Consider the following 26,056-nt stretch of genomic DNA (forward strand, 5'->3'; position numbering starts at 1 on the left):
GATTATTTTGTAGAGATGGGGTCTTGCTATGTTGCCCAGCCTGGTCTTGAACTCCTGGCCTCAAGTGATCCTTCCAGCAGAGACTCTCAAAGTGCCGGGATTGCAAGTGTGAGTCACCATGCCCGACGCCTGAGTTTACATAGTAGCTATGAAATAGTGACAGTACAGCGTTTATAAACACTAAGAAAGTAGAACTTGAGTTACTTCGATTCTGTCATTTTATGTGACCACGTGGGGTTTTTTACATCTAACATTTAAGATAGCAAAACAGAGTATGAACTGCAGGGTATGATATTTTGTTTGGTAAGCTCACATTTTAGTTTGGTAAATTTTTCCTAGATTCTTACAATTGAAATTCATTAATAATTATTCATTGTTTTAAAATTGAAGACCAAGTCAAGAAAAGAAAATATGACATTAGTGGTGTGATTTAGTAGGTGTTTATACCTTTGATAGAGCATTGGTTTTGTTAAATTTCACTTATTAGTTACTTGCCAATTAATGACATAAATATTGTATCAGTCTGTAACCAAAGGATCAAAATTCAAGTTGTTACATAGATATAAAAACCATTGAATAAATACTTGTGCTTTATTCTCTTTTTTTTGGACGATAAAAATTTTTATTATTTTATTTACTGGCATGATTAGATGCAGTTTTATTTTTTTTGTTTTTGAGACGGAGTCTCACTCTGTTGTCCAGGCTGGAGTGCCATGTTGTGATTTCGGCTCACTGCAACCTTTGCCTCCTGGGTTCAAGCAATTCTCCTGCCTCAGCCTCCCAAGTAACTGGGTTTACCGGCACCTGCCACCATGCCCAGCTAATTTTTGTATTTTTGTAGAGATGGGGTTTCACCATGTTGGCCAGGCTGTTCTTGAACTCCTGACTTCAGGTGATCCACCCACCTCAGCCTCCCAGAGTGCTGGGATTACAGGCATGAGTCACCATGCCTGGCCTAGATGCAAGTTTAATAAAGACTATTTTTGCTGTTTGTTTCTTTTTTGGTCAATTTTATGTTCTTTATAGTTATCACTGAAAGAAATTTTGCCACATAGAGAAGGGGGCTGCTTACAAAAAAAATTCTCTTGGTGTGAAACACACTGGGGACATCAGCACCCTCAGCCATCATCACAAGATGCCCAGCCTTGACCCAGTCTGGACCCTCCTACTGTTTCTAACCTTTGAGTGCAGCTCCTCCCACCCCGTGTAGTTGTGTTTCTGTAGATGTAGCACTGCGTCTTATAAGCCCTCAGTTTCCTACTGTGTGAAGGGAAGGGCTTTAATGAGAGTTTTCAACGTTTCCCTCAATTCTGAAATCCTGTGGTTGAATGGACCCTAAGCTGTGCTCTGATCGTGGTGGGGAAAGTGTTTCCATTACCTGTTGGCTTGTTATTACAGTGACCGCAGCCCCTGCTGTTTGGAGTGTCTGAGGCAGGTGGGGCCCAGTTTCCTTTGGCAAAAGAAGAAACTGGCAAGACATGGAGGTGGTCCAAGGATGTGGGGTCCGTTCCCTGTTGCTTTAGTGCCTGCACGAGGAGCGAGGGACTTATTCCAGGTTTCCCTTTGTGCTTGGAAGGAAGATGTATTCTCCATAGGCTCCAAAATTCATTTGTTTAGACATTTTAATTACATTTTTTGAATCTGTATTTTTAGCCTGTCCAATTAGTCAGTTTGATAATAGCATCAATCTCCTGTTACAGCTTTCTTGGTCCATTTGCTTGTGAATTTTGTTTTACATGTTTTCATGTAAAACATAATTTACATTTTGAGTAAAATTTAATTTTATGTAAAATAAAGTGTACCACACTGGTGGTAATGTGGCTGTAATTTTTACTCTGGCCTTATGCTCATTAATTATTTCTGTCTTAAACTTGGTGGTGATGTTACTATTTTAGCCTTTCCTTTCTTTTTGCTCATGTTTGTGTTATATGACTACTCATAACTTTGTTTTTAATTTTTTGAAGTTACATAAGAAAATCCCCACAGAGATCCTTTTTCATTTGATGGGGGCGCTTAAACCATTTGTTGGTGTAACTTTTTGGTAGGGCATTTTTTGTTTTATGCTTTTTATTTTTGCTTCCTTGGTGTTTTCTCAACTCTTTGGCTTAGTTGAGAAAGCTCACTGTGGGATTACTAAACATATGCGGGAACCGGAAGTGAAGACATCAGTTGTCATCACGTTGATCTTGCAGAGTCTGTGGACATTCAGGTAGGTGTATCCAGAGAAGTTAAATATGCTGGTCTAGACAGAGCTTGTGGTAGACATCCAAGCTGGGGGTGAATTTGATAACCATTTGATGAGTACACTGGTGCTAATTTCAGCCATACATGGAAAAGATGGTTCAGTGCATTGAATAAAGACCAAAGGCAGAAAACCTCAGGGATGATCTCTGTTTCAGGGTCAGGAAAAGGAGTGTGGAGGGGAGGTGGCACAGGAGCCCTGGGAGGTGTAGGGGCTAACCAGGAAAGGAGGGCTGCCAGTAGGTGAGCTCAGGTGCAATGTTTATTGATTTGGGCAAGAAGAAGAGAGACTTCTTTATCAATAGGGTGGAAAGAGCTTTGGGAGTCGGTTTGTGTGTGTGGGTGTCAAGGTGAATCACGTCCACTCTAAAGCTTCAGTTTACTCCATGAAATGGGGAGGAGGCAGAGTGCTCAAAGTGAAGGGGCTGGGGTAGGGCGGAGAGTTTGAGGAGAGAGAACGGTTGGAACAGCCAGGATGGTGCATGGGGCAGGGAGCTGTCCAAGGTCTGTGGCACCAAGAACCTAGGTGACATCAGAAAACACATGTGGGTCAATGTCTGTTAAGGGACCCACTTAGAATTGCTGTGTTGAATAATGTACTTCCGTTTCTTAATCCTTTGGTGATTAAAAAAATTACAAGGAAAAGATCAGTCTGGGTCTGCTGCATTTAATTGTGTGTATAGTAGATGTAATCTCCAAGGTGGGCGGTGGGGGTAGTTGGAGGGATCGCTTTGACCTTTCTGCCACTGCAGAGACTCCTGCTGCCAATATTGAAACAATCATAAATATCTTATTAGGTTTCCTGGGAACAAAGCCATGCTGCAAAGGGTATGAAAGCCTGTTTGGCAGGGATGAAGGTAGGAAGGATTATATGAAAAGAGAGGAGACTGTGGGGACACAGCCCGCTTTTCTGTTTGTTTGCCTGCTTGTTTGTTTTTATGAGGGGCAGGCTCTGTGGTATCTGCATCTATATTTTAGAAGCGCGTTGCTGTTGTTCTGATATTCACAGGGCCTTCATCTGTGTTTAAAAAACTGAAAACATAAGGATAAAAACTGATTTGAAGCTTCTGACATTTTTATAATTGTTTTCAAACACAGTTAACAGCATCTTCCCTTTTACTGTTTTGGACACCTTCTGTCCGAATCCTTCTAGCTGTGAGCGAATTCGACTTTGTAATGATTTCTTTTTTCACAGTGATGTCAGCAAAATCACACAGACCTAGGGGTCCAGCCCGGAGCTTTGCAATGTCCTTCTAGTTCCCTAGAGGCCCTCTGCTGGCTAGCAGCCCTTGGGTGACAGCTTGCTTTCTTTTCACATCTCTTGCCTCTCAAATCTGTTTAAGATTCTGCTTCTTAAACTGTCTGAATTAGGTGTCTCCGCAGATTTCCCTGTGGCCAGCTACCTCCCAAACCAAACACCTATGTAAGCCCACCTTGGTTGTTGTTCCTGAGCACGTTGAGGACATTTGGGCAAACACAACAAGAACAGGAAGTCGACAACGTTCCAGTTATAACCTCCTGCTGCTGCCCTTCCAGGGTGGGGCTGGGCTTCTTCCAACCCACTTTACCACCTGTCTTTGTTCAGGAAAGGCCAGAGTGTGCCATTGCCTTGGAAATGGCCTGTGTAAGAGGCTGAGAAGGGGTTTGAATGAGTCCAAGAAGCAGCAGGATTGGATCTGGAAGGGTTGATGAGGACTGGGTGAGGTGTTGTGGGGTTGTGAGTCTTGTGTGGGCGAGAGCTGGAAAGCACAGATGGAGGTGGAAGGACCCTTCCTTACCTTTTCTCTGCTCTCTCTTCCTACCTATTTGGTTTTTTGGTTGTATTTTTGCTTTTTAAGAGACAGAGTCTTGCTCTGTTACCCAGGCTGGAGTGCAGTGGCATGATCGTAGCTCATTGCAGGCTCCAACTCCTGGCTTCAAGCCCTCCTCCTGCTTCAGCCTCCCAAGAAGCTGGGACCACAGGCATGCACCATGCATGCCTTGCTTTTTTTTTTTTTTTTTTTTTTTTAAGAGATGGGGTCTCACTATGTTGCTCAGTCTGGTCTCGAACTCCTGACTTCAGGAGATCCTCTTGCCTTGGCCTCTGAAAGTGCTGGGATTACAGACATGAGCCACTGCTCTAGACCCCTGTCTGTTTTTATAGCTTAAAGTCACTTTTATACTTCCCATGGCTGTGTTCTGACAGTTTCATACTGTGTATACCTTGATCTGAGCTGTACACCTCAAGCTGCTTGGTTCGAATATATTTCATCTTTCTGGATTAAAACCCTTTGAACAAAGAGAACAGGATTCTTGCTCATCTTTATACAGGCAGCACTAACTGAGCAGTTTATCCACCAGAACTCTCATCACCAGGGCTCATGCACATTCAGGCTGTATGCTCCAACACTAGATGTTCCCCGTGAAACACCCGAGGGTAACCTGGCTGTATTGTCTGACTTCTTTGAAAGGTGCTGTCCTGTGGAAGGAGTGAGGGTGTGGGCTTTCTTTGCTTGACTGTTTTACCAAGTTTAATTGTAGGAAGCCATTCCTACAATTGATGACTTTATGTAATTATGTAATTAAAATGAATCATTGTTGAAGAGGAGACTGAGTGGGAGAAAAAGGATTGGGAGCATCTTGGCACATGGAAGCAGCTCTGGGGAAACTGAGAGTCTCACACCCCTGGCTCATGTGCCACCTCCAGCTTGGATGTTAGACCACCTGATCATTTTCCTATTGCGTCTGGCTTATTTTGAACCCCTGCATGAAATCTACATTGAAGAGGAGAGAATACTTTTTTTCTTTTCACATTATAGTTAATTGCTGAAAGAAACAGTTTAGGAAATCTGAAAAAAATAAATAGTGACTTAATCTAAATGGACCTCAATTTCCTCACTGGCAAAAAGGAGTGGATATTTGAAGGCTAAATAAATGATGCAAAAAAACAAAATACATGTGAACAAACACATGATGAGCATAGTGCCCAGAACACTTCGGGTTTTCAGGAAATGTTGTTTTCCTTATCATCAGTAAATTGGAAGGTAACAGAGCTTGATGATTATCAGGTGCTCTGATCTCTAATAGCCCAGGATTTTAAAAAAAGTCCTATTTACTTAGAGGAACAATTTGTTCTCTTAGAGAGGCACAGGTGGAGTTGACCTTTGTATGCAGGTCACATTTTGGATTAATGCATTGCTGTGCTTTTGTACTAGAGTATTTAATATTCTTATTAAAATATCAGGAGGAAATGGGAAATCTCAATATTATAATCTGCTTGTGTGGGTTGATGTGTTAATTCAGCCCTTTGGATGTAAAGCTGCTCTGGGCACGGCTTATGTTTGGCTGGCACAGTGCTGAAGTGTTGAGACCATCGTGCTAATGAGACCAAGGTGCAGGGTCTGACTCCCTCGGCAGGCTGCGGGGCCCTCAGAGGACCAGTCACCTCCTGCAGGTGTGTGTTCTTCATGTGAGCAGGTGGTGGGGTGTCCACAATATGTGAAGTATCATGATCAACACAGGTTAATCACCTGATTTGAGAAATTCTTTGAAGTTTGAGGTGGGCCATTAGTAGTATCAAAAACAGAAGGAATATTATGTGTGATTAAAGTCGTGAAAGGAGCTATTATTTCTGTGAAATTTGTAGGCTTCATATTTTACTCTAACACATTTTAGACTGAGTTAAACACAGAGTAGTTTTTAGGTTTAATTTAACCATTCAAAAGAATGGTTAGTTTTAGGACTGATTGCCTATTAAATTACTGACGATTAAGGGAAATCAAAAGTTTAATAGCTGAATGAAAATTGAGTTTGCACTATCTAATTTGGTTTAGATAATACTTTTTCAGATTTCAGGGGAAAATAAAGGCTGTTTTAATGTATGAATGCACATGAATGTTTATTTGATTCTGCAGTGTTAGTTTATTTTTCCATTAATGGGAGAATTTGAAGGTGTGTTAAGCCAACCTAAGCAAATATCTATCATTTAGACCACTGCTTTTTCCTAGTCTATCTCCCCTCTTGAAAATAACTATTTAAAAATAGGATTTTCAGCCGGGCACGGTGGCTCATGCCTGTAATCCCAGCCAGCACTTTGGGAGGCCGAGGCAGGCGGATCATGAGGTCAGGAGATGGAGACCATCTGGCTAATACGGTGAAACCCTGTCTCTACTAAAAATAAAAAATAAAAAAAATTAGCTGGGTGTGGGGGCAGGCACCTGTAGTCCCAGCTACTCGGGGGGCTGAGGCAGGAGAATGGCATGAACCTGGGAGGCAGAGGTTGCAGTGAGCCGAGATCGCGCCACTGCACTCCAGCCTGGGCAACCGAGAGAGATTCCGTCTCAAATAATAATAATAATAATAATAAAAGCAAGATTTTCATTGTCTAGTACTTGTTCATTATAATTGTTGCCTGTTTCACCTGATCCATATGCTGTATACCCATACATGTGGACACACGTGCTCCGGATATGAGTTGAAAATTTTGGGCACCCAATACGGGGCAGGTGTCATGCTCATTGTTAGGATTTAATGGTCAATAGGGTGAGACTTGCAGTGCTGGAGAGATAAACAGGTGCTCATACTATGAATGGTGCATATTTGTGAGGAAAACATCAGTATCAAGGCAGCAAATACAGCAGCAATATTTGTGTGCCTGCTTGGATTTTCAGATAGTGGATTCTCACTAATAGAATTTGATATTTCACCTTTAAAATTTCTCATCATAGAAATAAATCAGTAAGCTCTGCCTTATAAAGGGACTCGAGTCCTTCCATGATCACCCATTCTACAGAATGCTTGTTTACATATGCACATCTATTTCTGGTTATCATTAATTCTCCAATGATGCTGCAGATTCAGTCTCTCAGACATGGAGTCTACCTTTGTCTTGTTACTGATGATGTGCTTAACAGGTAAGCTGATCTTTTTGGTCATAGAATTGGCCAATGTGGATAATCCTGTTAATACCCTACCTCGGCCAAGCTCAGAGGATGATATTAGATAGCATGAATCTAGTCTGAAAAGTTTTTCTAACACCCTGCAGATGTGTTCAAGTCAAAATTGAAGGTAGGGGTTTAAATAATATTAGGAAGAGCTAACATTTGTTGAGAACATACTATGTCCCCGATGCCGTTATAAACATTTTATTTCTGTTAACTCAATGTTTGACTTCCATTTTGCAGATGATGAAAGTGAGGCATGGACTGATTAAATAACAAGCCTGGGGCTCATGGCAGACCCAGGAGTGCAGTGGCAGAGCTCATGCTTTTAGCCACTGTGCTTCATCTTCGGTGGCAGGATACTGAGTCCTGTACCCAGAGACTGTTTATATACAGAGTAGTGCTAACGTGTTGTTCTAATCAGTACATAGGAGGAAATGGACACTTCGGTTAAGGAAAGTAAAACTGAGATTCCTTATATTTGACAATAAAATAGAATCTCCATGTGGCAGGGGATAACTGCCCCCAAGATCCATTCTCTATCCTGCGCCAATTGTTGCCCTATATTCTGGCCTAATTACCTGTTAGTACTCCCTCAGGCCAACTATGGGCCCAGACCCTAGTGTATAGTAACCCTCACTAAATTGAGTGCAGCATTTAAGGAAGACTTGGCAAAGGTGAATGTGTTACTCACAGAAACAAACCTAGAGGGAGATGAGTCTTGAGTGTGACTTGCAGGTAGAGCTATATATAAGACCCTACTTCACAAATAATGCCTAGTTCTGAATCTGTATCCGGTGGAATGTTTCAGAACATGAGATTTGGAGCCAGACGCACTTGGCCCTGATAACACAGACACCTTGGTGAACCACGTGTTGTCATGTTTGGGGGGTTGAATCTTGGTTTAGCTATTGCCTAGCTATGTGAGCCTGGGCCAGTCAACACCTTCTTCGAGAGCGTTTCCACCTCTGTAAGTTGGTGCTCATCTAGCAGATTTGTTTAAAGGTCAATTGCCTGACATATATTAATTACCAGGTTGGATGCCAATAATTTCTTGTTGGGGACATCATATTCTATTCATTCAGGAATGGTGTGGCTATTATCTCAAACTCTGCCAAACACACGTACTGGTTCTCCTCTCCAGTGTACTATTTTATTTAATATTTGTGGAGTACTTACCTGAGCTGGTTCAGTTAGGAAAACAGACAGTAAACACAAGAACTAGATAACTTCAGATTATAATAAGGGCTGTTAAAATAAACAGGAGACATAAGGAAAAGTTGGGATAGGGTAGGGGAAGACCAACGGGCAACTCACTGTGGAAGTGATGATTGTGTTAAGGTGTGAGAAACGGGAGGTAGAGCAGGGTGGGAGGAAGATACCAGGCAGAGAAGACAGCAAGGGCAGAGGACAGCTATGCTACCCTCTAGTCCTAGGGTAGCACAGCTGAAACTCCCCAAACATGACAACCCCATGGTTCAGCAAGGCGTGTGTGTCATGGGGGAAGAGTAGATTATTTCCTCATAAATCTTTCATTTTATAGTTATCAAAGTGCCCTCCATAAATGTATTGCCTGCTCCCTTCTTATCTTGAAGTATGATACAGATCACTAAGATTCCTGTTTCCCTGGACTTGGAAGGAAGGCACAATAGGGTGAGCGAGGTGCCACACAAGTTATTAGAAACTGCTGGGGAGAGAGGGCTCTTGTTTGCCCTAGAGAATTCAAGGGAACTCAATTATGTTATTGTAGAGCTTTTCTGAAGGTGTAATTGAAATATTCAGGTGTAACATCATAGGATATGCAGGTAAGATTTGTCTCATTAAAATAACACCTTTAAACTTACTAAAGGTTTTAAATGTCTTAGTCAATTAAAACAATGCATTAGTGTTACAGTGCAGACAGGGATTATCTCCATAATATTGTGTGGAGTGCTCATACAGTGTTAGAGAAATGAACTAAAGTGAAATGAAATTAAAGCAGAATATAAAGACCATGAGAGTAATAACAGTGGTAACTTGAGGCCCAATATATAATTTTTTTTTTGAGACAGGGTCTCACTCTGTTGCCCAGTCTGGAGTGCAGTGGTGCGATCTTGGCTTACCCCAACCTCCACGGCTCAGGTGATCCTCCCACCTCAGCCTCCTGAGTAGCTGGGACCACAGGCATGCATCACCACACTCGACTAATTTTTTTTGTCCTTTTTGTAGAGGTGGGGTTTTGCCACATTGCACCAGCTGTTCTCCTGGACTCAAGTGATCCACCTGCCCTAGCCTCTCAAAGTGCTGGGATTACAGGCGTGAGCCACCTGGCACCAATATATATAATTTTAAGTTAAAACTTTTTTGTGTATTTTTACATTTTTGAGGCATGTAAATATATTACCTGTGCATTTTTTTATTTGTACGCCTTATGTATTTTTTCACTTTTGAAAAACTAAACTTGAATGCCTATCTTCTTCAACCCATGTTTGTATTTCTTTGACATACTTGACTCCTACTCGATGATGTGATACTATTTTAGAAGTATGGTTGGGCAGAAAGGGGGAGGCATGAAAGAGATGCAGAAGTCATGTGTTTAAAAATGTACCTGGGATTCGTTTTAATCGAGTATGGTAAGACCTGCAGACACAGAAAGGAGCATCATCAAGAAGTTTGTACTCACAGTTCCCTAGAAACAGGAGGCTGGCACACCACCCAGGGCCACACATAGAAGCTCCAGGTGGCTTAGGAAGCGTGGACAGTGGCCTTCCCTCTGGTTTCCATGAGAAGGGCAAGGCGGGATGAGCAGGTTTAGAATTGGCTGATATGGATAATTTCAGTGAGCTCTGGACATAAGGGCTGCTCTGGTTGTCTGGCATCTGGCTCTGGAATGATCAGGGCAGGCTTGATGAGTGAGAGTTTCCTAAGGGAGGCAGCTGGGAGGCACAGCACAGACTGGATTGTTTGGTTTGCATGTGAAAGACATATTCCCTGGCAAGTTGTTTGCTATTTCTAGGAATTAGCCCTAGAAGGGGCAATCCCCTCCCAGGGTCAGTGAAGCCCCAGGGGCCAGAGCGTTAGGGTACAGAAAATAAGAAAACATAGTTATTACACTATAATATGTTATGGGAAGTCTTCTGTTATTTATAATCAAATGGAGACAAGACACACATCCATGGTTAACTTGTAATGGAAGGTAGCATAAAGCTCAATGCTGAAGGGCGAGGTAATTTTCCCAGACTTCAGGGAAGGGAGCGTTTGTCCTCTGGGACTCTGAGGAGATGTCTTAGTGGATGGTAGAACAGTCCAGATTTTCCAGAAAGGAGTAGGACTAGAAGAAAGGAGGGTGAGTTCAGGACACAGAAAGACATGCGTGTCTGAAGCAGAGGTTTGCACTGGAGGGGGAGCAACCATTGGAAAGACATGCGTGGAAGCAAATGTTGAACCCTTTAATTACAGGCTGGGGAGCTCAAGAAAGGCATTGTGAATTTATTAACAATGCAAGTTCAGATCCCATACCGTGGCTTCACTTCCTAACTCTGTTAGTTAGAAAGCAACCCTCTGAAGTAATGTCAAGTGCCTCAAAAATAAATTCTCAAATGCTGGCTATGATTTGGATCACGGGGTGTTTTTAAACATGCTGTGTGGCATGTCAGACAGCAGTCATGTGTCATTGTGGATAGATTCAGGCAATTAGGAGGTGTGATGTGGTGAGGATTTCCAATAAGCCATGATGGCACTGGCAATGAAAAAGGAGAAATAAACGGGAGCTATTTGGCTACATAGTTTAATTCAGATAAATCCTCATTGAGCCTCATTATAACCTCATCATCATGTCATTGGGAAAATGAATTTACTGTCAAGTATTGAAGCTTAGAATGCTGCCAGTGGGCGTGTGTTCGTTTTTCTGTGGAGGGTGTCCCTTATTGTCATCTAATTCCCACAGGGGACTAGAACCCAATGAAAGTGATTCAGAATCTGGGGTAGGGCAGACAGGAATGTGAAACATGCCTCTGTCACTTGCTTTTTGGGTGATACAGGGCAAGTTAACTTTTTAAGCTGCTAATAGTAAGCTACAAATAGTAACTGCTATGATAATATTCAGAAGAACAGTGGTAGCGGGTGGATCCTCTACCTAGAACACTGACGAATTCACTCCTACTTGTCCTTTGGACTCAGATGTGACTGTGTGTGCGTGTCGTATCACCTGCTTGTTATGGCTGTTGTACTTGGCACTGCACGATGTCATGGCCTGTGTGCCATGCTCTAGACTCACACACCTGGAGGCTGGCATTGTGTGGGTTCTGGTTTCTAGTACAATCGTGTGTAGGTATAGTGGGTGTTTCATGGATGTTGTTTTGCTATGCATTTTAAGAGGCATTGTCAAACCTGAGTGGTGGTTTTGTTTATTAGCTTGAGAAGAGACCAGTTGGGGAAGACTTGACCAAACTTTTGGGCATTGAGAGCTGTCCAGCCGAGAGTGCTGTCATGGAGGTGTCCAAGCGGGGGCAGAATGTCCAGGACTAGGCGGGTGGGATCAGTGTGCTGCCTGGGTGGAAACGCCTCTCTGATATTGGGTCTAGAAGAGACACGAGCTGCCACCTGGCTTCACTCCTCACCCCTCACTGTATAGTTCAAACAGGGACTTACGCAAAGTTGTGTGATGAGTTGGTGACTGCTGGTTGCCCTGTGCAGCATCGAGACCGAGTCCAAGGCTCCTTCTGTGGAAATGGGTACTGGTTGAGAAGAAATCAATGACATACGCAAACAGAGTAGCCTATTAGAGAGCCGAATGAAAAGGGAAGTAACCCTACTGTTTGTGAGGTTGGAAAGGGTGGTCGGCATGCTGACAAGTAATGACACCATGAAGCAGCGTTCATACAGAACTTTCCAGCTGCAGGAGTTGTGCTGAGATGGGAATTTGCGTTCTAGGTGAGACGCTTGGCACTGGTGCTACCCTTGGGCATTTGGAGGATCCAAATCCACAAGAACTCAGCCTCCATTTGCACATGGGGCCAGGACAAGACCTCATGTGCTCAGTAGAAAGAAATAACTCCCTCTTGGAAGGAGTAAGATGTTGGAAAAATAATTAAACACTCTGTATATTTTCTCTTGTGGATCTTTCAGAGTTTGATTAGGTGCCATAACTCTGATGCTGAAAAGGATAGTCATACAGTCAATTGTGAAGAAAATTAAGGTCCTCGGGTTAAAAAAACAAGCCACAGGATAAAGCCTGAATCCTTAATGGCAAGTTTGGTGTGGCATGTGACTCTGAGCCTGTTGCCGGCATTTGGTAGGTAGAGGCATAAAGATGTGTGTGCGCACACACTGGGTGCAAGATAGCAGCTCAGAGCCAAACAAGGTATGTAGATCTTTAAAAAAAACTTCTCCAGTAGGATTTGGAGATTGTCCTTTGCTAATGGTTATCCAAATGTTTACAAGCACTGTGAAGTAACATTCTATGTCTGAACTCCTCGAGCTGCAAGAGGTGATTCTGTCATGCGCATGGGTATGCAATGCACTGGAGAGCATGTTGGAAGGAATCCAGTGGTGGATTGCAGTCCACTTCCCTCTGCCTCACTCCAGTGGAAAGTTGCTCATTGGTATTTTTGTGCTCCACTACCCTGCTACCTCAGTCCAGTTTTGCATTGAATACCGTCAGTATTCAGTATTGTCTATATAAATGGTATGAGGATTAGATATTATATTGATAGAATTATTTGTGGATTGGTAATTGGTATAAGATTTTGAAGAGATAGAACTGATTGGTATCCTATTATTTTAAAATCCTTTTTCATCTAACATCTATTTCGTATGTTTTTTTCAGAAGTTGTGGTTAGAAGATTATTTATTGAGAATAATTTTTAAAAATCTTTCCTTTCCTTTTTTTTTTTTTTTTTTTTTAAAAAGTATACAGTGCGGCCGGGCGCGGTGGCTCACGCCTGTAATCCCAGCACTTTGGGAGGCCGAGGCGGGTGGATCATGAGGTCAGGAGATCGAGACCATCCTGGCTAACAAGGTGAAACCCCGTCTCTACTAAAAATACAAAAAATTAGCCGGGCGTGGTGGCGGGCGCCTGTAGTCCCAGCTACTCGGGAGGCTGAGGCAGGAGAATGGCGTGAACCCGGGAAGCGGAGCTTGCAGTGAGCCGAGATTGCGCCACTGCAGTCCGCAGTCCGGCCTGGGCGACAGAGCGAGACTCCGTCTCAAAAAAAAAAAAAAAAAAAAAGTATACAGTGCTCAGACAGAGTCACTTTATAGTGTGATGGGAAAGGTCACATGTAATAATCTATGGTCCTCTTGCTAGTAAGTGCATGCCCCTAAACCAGGCTATTGTTCTCATTACTTCTAAATCTTTGCTTGGGTCAGTGGGCTTGAGGCCATCGGACGCTATTAACTTCGGTTTGTATTCTCAGAATTGTATTTTTTTAGTGAGAATTTACAGTTATTGTTTAGTTGTTGGGGAAATTACTGCTCTTACCCATCTTCCTCTTTCTTATGTGAGATATCTTGATAGCAATCACTTTACCAAAAATAGTGTATGTGTTGGTTTTAGAATTATTGGATTGAATGGGTCTGAAATTGCTTTGACTCCAGTCTCAAGTTTGCTGATGATAAAACTTCTATTAGATTTGTTAAGTAGGATTTGTTTTTTCGGCGGGGCGGGGGGGGGTGGTGGTCACAACTCATTGGAAATGCCTGTTAATCAGTCTCTCTCTCTCTCTCAAGAGATCTATTGACATATACCCTTCATTCTTCCAGTTTCTTTTCTCAAAACCACATAAACCCCCTTGATTTATTTTTCCTTTTATAAGACCATTATTTTCTTTCTTGCTTTTCATATAACCTTAATGTCTGATATTAGTTTTAAAGTCTGATTAGTAAAATCATTTTGTGTTTTACAACTGTTATACGTGTTAAAGTCACCTTCACACGTATAATTTAACCTCATAGACTTCTTAAAACACAACCTGATATAAGTGCCTTCACTTTTTATCACATCCTCAGCCCTTTATATTTTTTGTTCTCAGTGTATCTGACCTAGAGACTCTATCTCTCTAGAGATATTATAGTTCCAAATCTGTATCCAGAAAGACGTACACATCCCTGTTTCGCTCCGCAGGTCTGGACATTACCAGGAGAGCCTGCTCACTTATTTCCCTTTCAAAACTGTTGCCAACTGGCTAGCATGTTGATGGCTCTACATAACTTATTATTATTATATACAATATATGCTATATCATATTCTATGATAATATCAAATATCATTAACAAGGTATTATTAATATCCGACATATTCTTGCCTTCCTTTATATTCTCCTATACAGGCATTCTTTCTTGCTCTAGAATTATAAATTAACTGCAACTTCACAAGACCCGCGATAGAGAAAGGAAAATGATGGCCTCCACTGCAGAGTGTAGAGCTAGAGGTGTGGAAAGGTCAAGCAGCTTCTCCAAGCTGACGCTGGGATTACAAACCAGCTTTCTGTGTTCCCGACCAGGCTTTGGTTATTCTGAGGAAATTGGATCTAACAAGTGTTTGGTTACAGCTTCCTATAAAGGACAGTTACGTTTAGCTTTGTTGAAAATCCAATTTTATATTTCTCCTAGATAATACCGAATGATGAGAGAGCTCTTCCGCTCTCCCTGCTGAAAGTTGTTGATTTTCTAATTGAGCAGGGCTCATTTGAGGGGAGCTGACAGATTTTTAGCTCCTGATTCTAGGTCATTTCTATGGATGCTATAATGGGTACATGCTTTTTTTGTCATGCCTCAGACACAAACCATTAATATTTCTGCTCTTTCCTATTTATGCAAGGTATAGAATAGTCCCAGTTTGACTCCCTTACAAAGGTGGATTGGGGCCAAATGTACCATCTGGCTGGCCTCCAATATGGAAACCAGGAGGCCACGTCTTGGACATTTGCGTATTTCAGAAAAAGTCATCAAGGCAGATATTGCCCACCAGTTTTGTTCCAGATGTACCCATTTGGAAACCCTTGAAACCAGAAACATTCATGAGATAGAGTTCTGGCCAATGAGACGGGAGCTGAGGGCATCTGAGGAAGCCCCACTTCCCGGATCGAGGTGCCCAGTTCTCTGTTTCTCCTCGTGTGGAACACGGCTGTGGATCTGAAGAGGAGCAGCATCTGTGACACTGTGACACTATAATCCCAAAGGGCTGGGATTATAGGTGTGAGCCACCATGCCTGGCCTGAAGGTTATTTTATACAATATTTTAAATAATTTTGTACATGAAACAAAGTTTGTGTACATTGAACCATCAGAAAGCAGAGGTGTCATGTCAGTGCTCAAAAAGGTTTGGATTTTAGAGCATTTCAAATTTCAGATTTTCGGATTAGGGATATTTAACCTGTGTGTGTATATATACAGTACAGTACATATATATATATATATATATATCTTATTTTACATATAAAACTTATAAATAAGAAACTAAATATGTGTGTGTATATCTGTATATCTGTGTATCTCTATATAAATTTTGGTAAGGAATAATACTGTGTAGAGGGAGATATTACCTTACCAAGAGTCAGAACATGTATAAAACTACTGTAAATCAGTTGGTTGGGAATTGACATAGAACTAAATACATGCCAATATATTGAAGAGTGATATCTCAGTAAAGTGGGGTGGGTAATTGTGCTGGTACCATTCTTTGTGTGTGTGTGTGTGTGTGTGTGTGTGTGTGTGTGTGTGTGTGTATTTTGTTGTTGTTGTTTTGAGAAAGAGTTTTGTTCTGTCACCCAGGCTGGAGTGTAGTGGTGCGATCTTGGCTCACTGCAGTCTCCGCCTCCCAGGTTCTAGCAATTCTCCTGCTCCAGCCTCCTGGGTAGCTGGGATTACAGGCATGTGCCACCATGCCTGGCTAATTTTTGTATTTTTAGTAGAGAGAGGGTTTCACCATGTTGGCCAGGCTGGTCACGAACTCCTGACCTCAGGTGATCCTCCCTCCTTGGCGTGCCAAAGTGCTAGGATTACAGGTGTCAGCCACTGTGCCTGGCTGTGCTGGTACCATTTTTAAATAAGTGGCTATGTGTCAGGATGAAGACAGAACTGAACTCTATCCTTTATCATATGTGAAAATAAATTCTGATTGCAGAAATTAAAGACTGACATAAAAAAGTCAGTAAAGACAATCTTAGCCATTACATATATAATGAGGTTGGGGAAGAACTTCTTAATACTAAACCAAGGTGCTATAAATATTTTGGAACATTTCCAATGTCCAGTACCTCTTTGTATGTCAAAGGTGCCATTAAAAACTTGATATACAAATGAGTAGTCTAGAAAACTACTAAATGTAAACTACATAATATAAAATAGAGTTAACAGACAATTCCAAGAGGCTTTGCAAAGGGACGCTGGAAAGATCAACAAACCAGTGGGAAAATGGGCAAAGTATATGAGGAGATGATATGGCTCACAAATGTATGAAAATATATTTAACTTGATTAGCAGTCAAGGAAATGCAAATTAATGTGACAGTGATGTCTTACTTGACATAAGACAGTACTGTAAAAAAAAACTGTTAATATCTGTTGCTGGCAGGAATATGCATGCAAATAATACACCAACACATTGCTGGTAGGAATGTGAAGTTTGAAAATCCTTTTAGCATGTTGTCTACTATATATTAAAATTTATGCTCCTCTAGGAACAGAAACAAGACATTAGGTAGGAACTTAGGAAATCTGAATGCAGTGCGGACTTTAGTTTAATTTTTAACAACCACATGACCCTCAGACTCATTAATTCCACTTCAGGCAATCGATCTCCTAGAATTAAACTCACCAGTATTCATGGACATATGAACATGGGTCTTTATTGTGACGTGTCTCATAACATACAAAGCCTGGAAATAAAGTAAATGCTCATCATAGAAGAATGGCTGAATAAATTATGGAAAATTATATCACCATTAAAAAGGATGAATTAGAATTATACAATTGACTTGCAAGGATTTTGCAATATTATTGAGAAAGAAAAAAATTCAGAAAATGGCATAATGTCTCATACTTGTGGAACTTTGGCAACCCTCTGATTATGTGTGAATACGTGTGTTGAGACATCTATGTAAGATTGTATAAACTTGGAGAAAAGATGGAAACGTATATAGGTTGTTATTAAAATAACCATGTGTAAATCACTTACATATTTGTATTAGATGATGCATATATCCACAGAAGCAGATTTTCTGGGAGCTAATGGTATTTACGCTTCAGAATGTCTGCCCCAGGGCCCCAGGGGGGACCTTACCAATGTAGACATGGCCAATTATTTTTGCATAATTTAATAGACTTGAGCCTTGCTTGGGGTAAGAACACAGTGTCTTTTCACCCAAACTTCCCCCTTCTCATCCTTCTTCTGTTAGGAGACATGTTTTGGGGACCTGGGTAAGGGAAAGTTGAGTTAGAAATAACATTTCGTTGGGTTTAGAGTTGTATTTACATGGTGTGCAGTCACTTTTGTGAACAGGTAAATTTTTAGCTCTCCCAGCATAGAAATAAGGACCAGAAATATTCTTCCTGGCCACCTCTGCATCTGAGGTTATGATATGGTGTAGCATTTCTAGAAGTATCAAAATATCAGTGTGGTATATTATGCTTGAAGTATGTGAGTCATATTGGAGAGACAGTGTTTGAAATGTGTGGAGCCAGAAGCTAGATTTTAAGTTTCACTTACAAAGGAAATTTCATGGCAATCCCTCTAAATTTGACAACCATCATAAAAATTTACATGACATATATTGATAAGTTGTGGAGCTGAAAGAAGCTTTACCAAAAGATCAATTAAAAATAATTGATCAATTATTGCTAGAGGAAAAATGAATTATCTGTTCTTTCTATACAAACTATTTACAAAATTTTCTAAGAAACTACCCACACAAATAAAATTAAAAATATGGAGGGGAAAGTATTATGGACTATTAATATTAATATTATAGTATTTAATAAAAATAGTATGTTTTCTGGATAACGTGATGTATTTTTCAGCCTTCATGAATGTGTAATATGTTGTGTTTTTTTCATTATAAGTAAACTTCACTTCTGTGCCCAATTTTGTTTTCGTAATACTGTATTTTTCTTAAAGCAAGATTCCCAAATTGTATACATGTTGTATACAAATTGCATCCAGTCTCCACAAAATTTAATATTCTCCTTCTGTGATTTCTGGGTAAACTAATGAGTAAATTAAATGAAAAGATGACTAAACATTTTAGAATTACTTAGGAATGAATACCAGTACATTGTGTTTTTATTTTAAATGGATATAAGTGAATATGCAAGAACCAAATGCAATAAGGCTATTACAGTTCTTCCTTAAACATCAGTTCTCTGAGGATTATTATTAGATAATTTATGAAGAACTTGAACTTCATCTGGCGCACGCCCCAAATGTTTACTTTGCAGAAAACACTGCTATGCTGGCTGGCCAGTAGAGGGCACTGTGCTGTTGGTCTGAGTTGTACAATGAGCGTTCAACCTGCAAGGCGTGGACAGGTGGTTAAGATAATAAATATTTTATGTGACCAGCCTAGAGCTCACAGTACAAGACAAGAAATTTCTTTCTCTCTCTGACTCCCTGCCTTTGTCTGTTCCCGTCTGTCTGTAACACACACACACACACACACACACACACACACACACACACACACACAGAGAATGTTGAAATAAATGGATGGATTACAGATTGTACACTTTGGGTAGACATGAATAGAGAAAATCTTGTTAGAGAAGATGACCCCTTGGGCTATTGGCTCAGAAAAGGAGAAGGATGTGGTTTGATGAAAAGAAGAAAGAAAGATGTTCTAGGAATTTGGCAGAGGATGAAAGGAAGCAAGAGAACTTAATAAGAGCAAATACGTTTTAGAATAAAGTGATTTCCATTTAAAGGGGAAGAACTGGACTCTTCGATTTCCCTGTGGGGTGAGTTTTAGGGTAAAGACTCCTGTGCTGAAAGCCAGCCTGCTCATCTCAAAGGAATACATACAAATGTTGCACTCTGAGTGCTGTACTCATGTTTGTTTCTTGTTAGACTCTTATGGGGCAGATGACAGTTTCCCCTTCTTTTATCCATGATCTAGGTGTCAATTGCCGCTGGCAAAAGGAAGTGATAGTGGGGAGTGATATCAGATATGAGTAGTTACTAGCTCTTTTGTGGTGGAAGCAGTATAGAAACAAACTGGGTCTTTAGTCTGATTTCATGTTCTAAAAAAAAGCTCCTTATGTATGACCAGTCCTAAACTTAGCTAAAATAATCAGCTGTCCCTTGACAGTTATATCTGGATACTACTTTTTTATATTAAAGTATTATTAAAACAACACATGTAGGTAGCTAAAAGTTGAAAGAGTTTAGAAGTGCTTATCATGAAAATCAATAATCTCCTGCCCTCTCTCCCATCCCAGTCCTGTTCCACCAAAGGCAACCACTTTGAACTCTTTGTGTTTTTAATTCTTTGGAGGTTTCTACCATATTTCAAAATTAAGTTTAGAAATGTGGTTTTCTCTACATTGTGAAATACAGTTTAGAAATGATCTCTCTGAACTCTCTTATAGATGCAGATTTCAGTTAATTACCTCAGGTCCAAGTAGTGAGGCAGTGTATCATGTTTGCCTCTTTTCTAGTATAACTTGCTTTTCCTGCCTTGTTCTTCTCCTTAAACAATTTTTTTTGCATTTTAATTTTTATCTTTTCCATCAGATCAATACACATTTATATTATAACCTCTCTATATATTTTAAAATAAATATCCCAGAATAATCTCTTGGTTTTACCCCTTCCCCTCCACACCTCGCCATCTTCTTGCCAGATAAACTGGCTGCCCTGTAGATGTGTTGCTGTAAAGTGGTCATCCCAGAACTTTCTCACTGCTTTCTTGAGTTGTATTCCCTGATATTTAGACACTGTCAGGGAGTGGGGTGGGGGGTTGCTTTCTTGATTACTGTTTTGTATTGTTGAAGAACATCTTGCAGTAAGAGGCTTCCTAGAAAAGCTTATGTGAAAAGTAGATGTGAGTGTCTGATAGCTTGGCTGGGTATAGAAATCTAAAGTGTCAGTTTAGAGGTCTGTGTTGCTATTAAGAGGCTCAATTTCATCTTCATTTTTTTTCTTCTTATAAATAGGCTCTTTTTAATATCTTTATGGTTTAGAAATAGCATTCTATAATGAAAAATATTTAGTATTCTATAATGAAAAATTTTGGTATGTGTCTCATTGTTGTGGGTACTTCGTGTACCCTTTCAATCAGAAATCTTTGTTCTTAGAGTTCTAGCAACTTCTTCTGTATAACTTGTTAATATTATCTTTCTCTGGTTTCTGTGGAACTCTTTTTTTTTTTTTTATTGATCATTCTTGGGTGTTTCTCGCAGAGGGGGATTTGGCAGGGTCATAGGACAATAGTGGAGGGAAGGTCAGCAGATAAACAAGTGAACAAAGGTCTCTAGTTTTCCTAGGCAGAGGACCCTGCGGCCTTCCGCAGTGTTTGTGTCCCTGGGTACTTGAGATTAGGGAGTGGTGATGACTCTTAAGGAGCATGCTGCCTTCAAGCATCTGTTTAACAAAGCACATCTTGCACCGCCCTTAATCCATTTAACCCTGAGTGGACACAGCACATGTTTCAGAGAGCACAGGGTTGGGGGTAAGGTCACAGAACAACAGGATCCCAAGGCAGAATAATTTTTCTTAGTACAGAACAAAAAGTCTCCCATGTCTACCTCTTTCTACACAGACACGGCAACCATCCGATTTCTCAATCTTTTCCCCACCTTTCCCCCCTTTCTATTCCACAAAACCGCCATTGTCATCATGGCCTGTTCTCAATGAGCTGTTGGGTACACCTCCCAGACGGGGTGGTGGCCGGGCAGAGGGGCTCCTCACTTCCCAGTGGGGGCGGCCAGGCAGAGGCACCCCTCATCTCCCGGACGGGGCGGCTGGCTGGGCGGGGGGCTGACCTCCCCACCTCCCTCCCGGACGGGGCGGCTGGCCGGGCAGAGGGGCTCCTCACTTCCCAGTAGGGGCGGCTGGGCAGAGGCGCCCCTCACCTCCCGGACGGGGAGGCTGGCTGGGCGGGGGGCTGACCCCCCACCTCCCTCCCGGACGGGGTGGCTGGCCGGGCGGGGGGCTGACCCCCCAACCTCCCTCCCGGACGGGGCAGCTGGCCGGGCGGGGGGCTGACCCCCCCCACCTCCCTCCCGGATGGGGCGGCTGGCCAGGCAGGGGGCTGACCCCCCCATCTCCCTCCCGTACGGGGCGGCTGGCCGGGCAGAGGGGCTCCTCACTTTCCAGTAGGGGCGGCCAGGCAGAGGCGCCCCTCACCTCCCGGACGGGGTGGCTGGCCAGGCGGGGGGCTGACCCCCCCACCTCCCTCCCGGATGGGGCGGCTGGCCGGGTGGGGGGCTGACCCCCCCACCTCCCTCCCGGACGGGGTGGCTGGCCGGGCGGGGGGCTGACCCCCCCCACCTCCCTCCCGGACGGGGCGGCTGGCCTGGCGGGGGCTGACCCCCACCTCCCTCCCGGACGGGGTGGCTGCCAGGCGGAGACGCTCCTCACTTCCCAGACGGGGTGGCTGCCGGGCGGAGGGGCTCCTCACCTCTCAGATGGGGCGGCTGCCGGGCGGAGAGGCTCCTCACTTCTCAGACGGTGCGGTTGCCAGGTGGAGGGTCTCCTCACTTCTCAGACGGGGCGGCTGGGCAGAGACGCTCCTCACCTCCCAGACGGGGTCGCGGCCGGGTAGGGGTGCTCCTCACATCCCAGACGGGGCGGTGGGGCAGAGGCGCTCCCCACATCTCAGACGATGGGCGGCCGGGCAGAGACGCTTCTCACTTCCTAGATGGGATGGCGGCCGGGAAGAGGCGCTCCTCACTTCCTAGATGTGATGGCGGCCGGGAAGAGGCGCTCCTCACTTCTCAGACTGGGCAGCCAGGCAGAGGGGCTCCTCACGTCCCAGAAGATGGGCGGCCAGGAGAGACGCTCCTCACTTCCCAGACGGGGTGGCGGCCGGGCAGAGGCTGCAATCTCGGCACTTTGGGAGGCCAAGGCAGGCGGCTGGGAGGTGGAGGTTGTAGCGAGCCGAGATCACGCCACTGCACTCCAGCCTGGGCACCATTGAGCACTGAGTGAACCAGACTCCGTCTGCAATCCCGGCACCTCGGGAGGCCGAGGCTGGCGGATCACTCGCGGTTAGGAGCTGGAGACCAGCCCGGGCAACACAGCGAAACCCCGTCTCCACCAAAAAAATACAAAAACCAGTCAGGCGTGGCGGCGCGCGCCTGCAATCGCAGGCACTTGGCAGGCTGAGGCAGGACAATCAGTCAAGGAGGTTGCAGTGAGCCGAGATGGGAGCAGTAAAGTCCAGCTTTGGCTCGGCATCAGAGGGAGACCGTGGAAAGAGAGGGAGAGGGAGACCATGGGGAGTGGGAGAGGGGGAGGGGGAGGGGGAGGGAGAGGGAGAGGGAGAGGGAGAGGGACTCTTAATAGTTGGATATTGGTCTTGTATTTGTACTATTAAGTCTCTTTTATTTTGCATCTTGTTTTTTTGGTTTTACTTTTTGGAAAATTTGCTTAGCTTTATTTTTCACTTCCTTTTTTGCAATATTTTAGTTAGGCTAGCGTACTTCCAATTGCCAATAGCCATTTTATTCTGTTTCCTTTTTAGAAATACCATCTTATTCTTGTTTCATGTGAATGTGTTATCATCTTATGACTCTGAGGATATTAGAATTAGCATTACTCCAAACTCTAAAATATTCTTTTAAAGTTTGCTGTACTGTTTCCTCAGGTCTCCCCTTTCTTCTGTATTCATTTAAAATCTCTTTTTTGTGGTGCAGGCTTTCTACACATATTTGGTAATTTTTCAAAGAGGAAGTGTAGCAGGATGATGGGGTGCTCTGTGAGTGCAGGCCAGATAGCAAGACTCACTTTTCGGTGAAGGACTTTTAGACATGAGTGTATGAGGTTTGTGTGGGTGCCCTGGGAATACTCCTGGCTGTGGGTGTAGCAGCCTGGCTGTGTAAGATTTTGGTGTAACCAGAAGAAGGGGGCTTGTGAGAGAGGAACCATGTTTCTTTTATGAAGTCTTTTGCTTCGAACTCTTTATAGTTTATCTTGTGGGGTTCCTCCAGATTCCTAGCCCTGATTTCCTGTGTGAGCTCCTCTGTGTATGGACTTCAAATACCTCCCTTTGCTTTCTATGCTTGCCACAGACCCTTTTCCATCATTGATGTCTCATGAGTCTCCTGAGCTCTGCAGGCTGAAACTGTTCCCCTCCTGTCCACAGGCTCCCCTGTCTCCAATGCACTGGGCTTGTGCCTGCCTCTGCCCTGCCTAATATATGATTGTGATAGTAAAGTTAATGTGTCAACTCGACAGGGCTATGGGGTGCCCAGGCATCCAGTTGAACATTATTCTGAGTGTCTGCGAGGGGATTTCTGGATGAGGTTAGCATCTGTATCAGTAGAGTGAGGAAAGCAGGTGGACTCCCTAGTGTGGGCGGCCCCATCAAACAGTTGAAGCCCTGACCAGAACAACCCTCTGCCAAGTAAGAGGGAGCTCCTCCTGCCCGACAATCTTCAAACTGGCACATTAGCTTTTCCCGCCTTCAGAGCTACTGAAACAATGGTTATTCCTGAGTTTCCAACCCACCGGCCTTTGGACTGGAACCATACCATTGGCCCTCTTGCCCATTCCCACTGCTGGTGTTGGAGTTTGCCAGACTCCATAGTTGTGTGAGCCAATTCCTTATCATAAATCTCTATATGTCACCTAGTGGCTCTGTTTCTTTGACACAATGACACTCTTATTACAACTGCATTATTATTTTAAAAATGGATTGACATATCTTCTGAGATACCATTTGTGAAGCTAGAGCCCGTTCTTCCTGCCTCGCAGGCCAGGGCCCTTGCTTAGGCGGCAGCCCCTCTTGTGGGCTTCTCTCTCCCTGCAGCTCATACTCAGAAGGCGTCTTGGAGGCATGTTCAACTTGTCTGGCGAAAGCAGAAAGAAGTCTATTTTAGAAAAAAGACAACCCCACATCTTAGCTAATGATTCCATTCCTAGTTGTGTGTGTGTGTTTTAAACTGACTGCATATTTTTACATTCCTTTCTAGTATGGTAGTGGTGTCCCTGTAGGCAGAAGTGGTAAATGTGTTTCCATTTTACAATTGTCAGTCTGAAGCTAGGCAGCCTTTAGATCGGGTCTTTACTGCTGTTAGAATCCTGCACATAACAGACCTATTTAACTCATGTCTCTATGTTGGATTTCAGTTAGACACCTGCAGGGATGGGTCCACTTTATGAAACTGTGAGCTGTACACTTTGGTTTTGTGCACTTTGCTATATATGCACACTTTGGTTTTGTGCACTTTGCTATATACGCATGATAAACAAAGAAATGTCAGTTAGAATTAAACACTTGAATAAAGTTTGACAATTATGTGAGAAATCCAGAAAGATAGAATAATATAGCTTGCCCCAGATTTTTAACTCTACAACATGAGGGACGGATAGATATGGCTTTCTACCCAGACCTAAATTAAACATTTGTGTTTTCCATACTAGAAATCTCTGTGTACCAATCATCTCAGCTCCCGATGTTCTCCCAGCTTGACCACTTCGGTTTAGCTTTCCATCCAGATCTTATTTGATGTTGTAGTTCCTGAACCCTGTCTCCTTGGGAAGTGTCTTTTCTGACAAGGTATGTCCTCCCCGAGAACCAGTGCACCCTTGACTGAGGGCAAAAGCGTTTGGGACCTGAAAAGGATGGGTTTAGGCCCTTGCCTTTGGATAACTCGATCTCAGAGTGGCTGCTGCTCCTTACTTGGTTTGTAGCATGCCAACACTTAGGACAGCCTTAAATCTTTCCTTGTAGTAGGGATTATTTCCCTCTGTTTGGAAAGAATATACTGAATTCTGAATGAAAGGCCAAATGTGGTATACTTAAATGCAATATGTTTTAGTGTTAGAGTTTCACACGCTGACCTGTTGCGTTTCTTTTGGGGCAGTGGCTGCATGGGGCCTGAATTGTAATGATTCCTGTACTTGTTGAGGCCAGATATTTTTATAACAAATAATTGTTGTTTCTTTTAATTGAAAATTGAGAAGAATCTCATTAAAAATGATCCTTCTCTTGCAGTGCAAAATTAAATAAATCTCATAACTCTTTTTTTTTTGTTTTTATACCATGAAGTTCACATTTTTTCTTTCTTTCTTCCTTTCTTTCTTACTTTTTTTTTTTTTTTGAGACGGAGTTTCACTCTCTCACCCAGGCTGGAGTGCAGTGGAGCAATCTCAGCTCACTGCAACCTCCGCTTTCTGGGTTCAAGCGATTCTCCTGCCTCAGCCTTCCAGGTAGCTGGGATTACAGGTGCCTGCCACCAAGCTCGGCTAATTTTTGTATTTTTAATAGAGACAGGGTTTCACCATGTGGGTCAGGCTGGCCTCGAACTCCTGACCTCAAGCTATCCACCCACCTCGCCCTCCCAAAGTGCTGGGATTACAGGCATGAGCCACCGTGCCTGGTCACATTTTTTTTTTTTTTTTTAATATAAAGCACCTGGTCATGCTCACTTTGGCAGCACATAGACTACAATTGCAATGATACAGAGAAGGTTAGGATGATCCCTGCGCAAGGATGACACACACATTCATGAAGTGTTCTATGTTTTTAAAGTTAAAAAAAAAAGAAAGAATAAATCACTTGGGTAAAACCTGCTTTTCAATAATGTCACTTTTAATGATATTAGCCATAAATATCTGATATCTTGCATTTGGAATTGGTTATCTAAGAGTTGTTTTCACTAGAAGATCTTCCTGGCAGCATGCTCAGTGGTCAAAATGTTATCTTCTTCTCAGCTCATGTTTCCATGCAGGTGTTGAGATAAAGTGTTTCATGTCCA

The 26,056-nt window shown here is 42.9% G+C and overlaps 1 protein-coding gene and 1 pseudogene across 12 annotated transcripts in view, besides 1 other annotated feature; both read left to right on the forward strand.

Moving 5' to 3' along the window:
• The window catches only part of ATP8A2 (ATPase phospholipid transporting 8A2), a 653,878-nt gene that overhangs the window by 119,426 nt on the left and 508,396 nt on the right, over window positions 1-26,056 (forward strand). The window lies entirely within an intron of this gene.
• Window positions 21,292-22,164: an enhancer, noted in NCBI's record as "H3K27ac hESC enhancer chr13:26086829-26087701 (GRCh37/hg19 assembly coordinates)". NCBI's record gives its function as "activates a minimal SCP1, AML or CMV promoter by ChIP-STARR-seq in naive H9 embryonic stem cells {active_cell/tissue: H9 hESC(naive)}" and the evidence as "EXISTENCE:reporter gene assay evidence [ECO:0000049][PMID:30033119]".
• Window positions 25,720-25,826, forward strand: RNU6-78P (RNA, U6 small nuclear 78, pseudogene; annotated as a pseudogene).

The sequence above is a fragment of the Homo sapiens genome, chromosome 13 (genome assembly GCF_000001405.40).
Source record: "Homo sapiens chromosome 13, GRCh38.p14 Primary Assembly".
Taxonomy (NCBI): domain Eukaryota; kingdom Metazoa; phylum Chordata; class Mammalia; order Primates; family Hominidae; genus Homo; species Homo sapiens.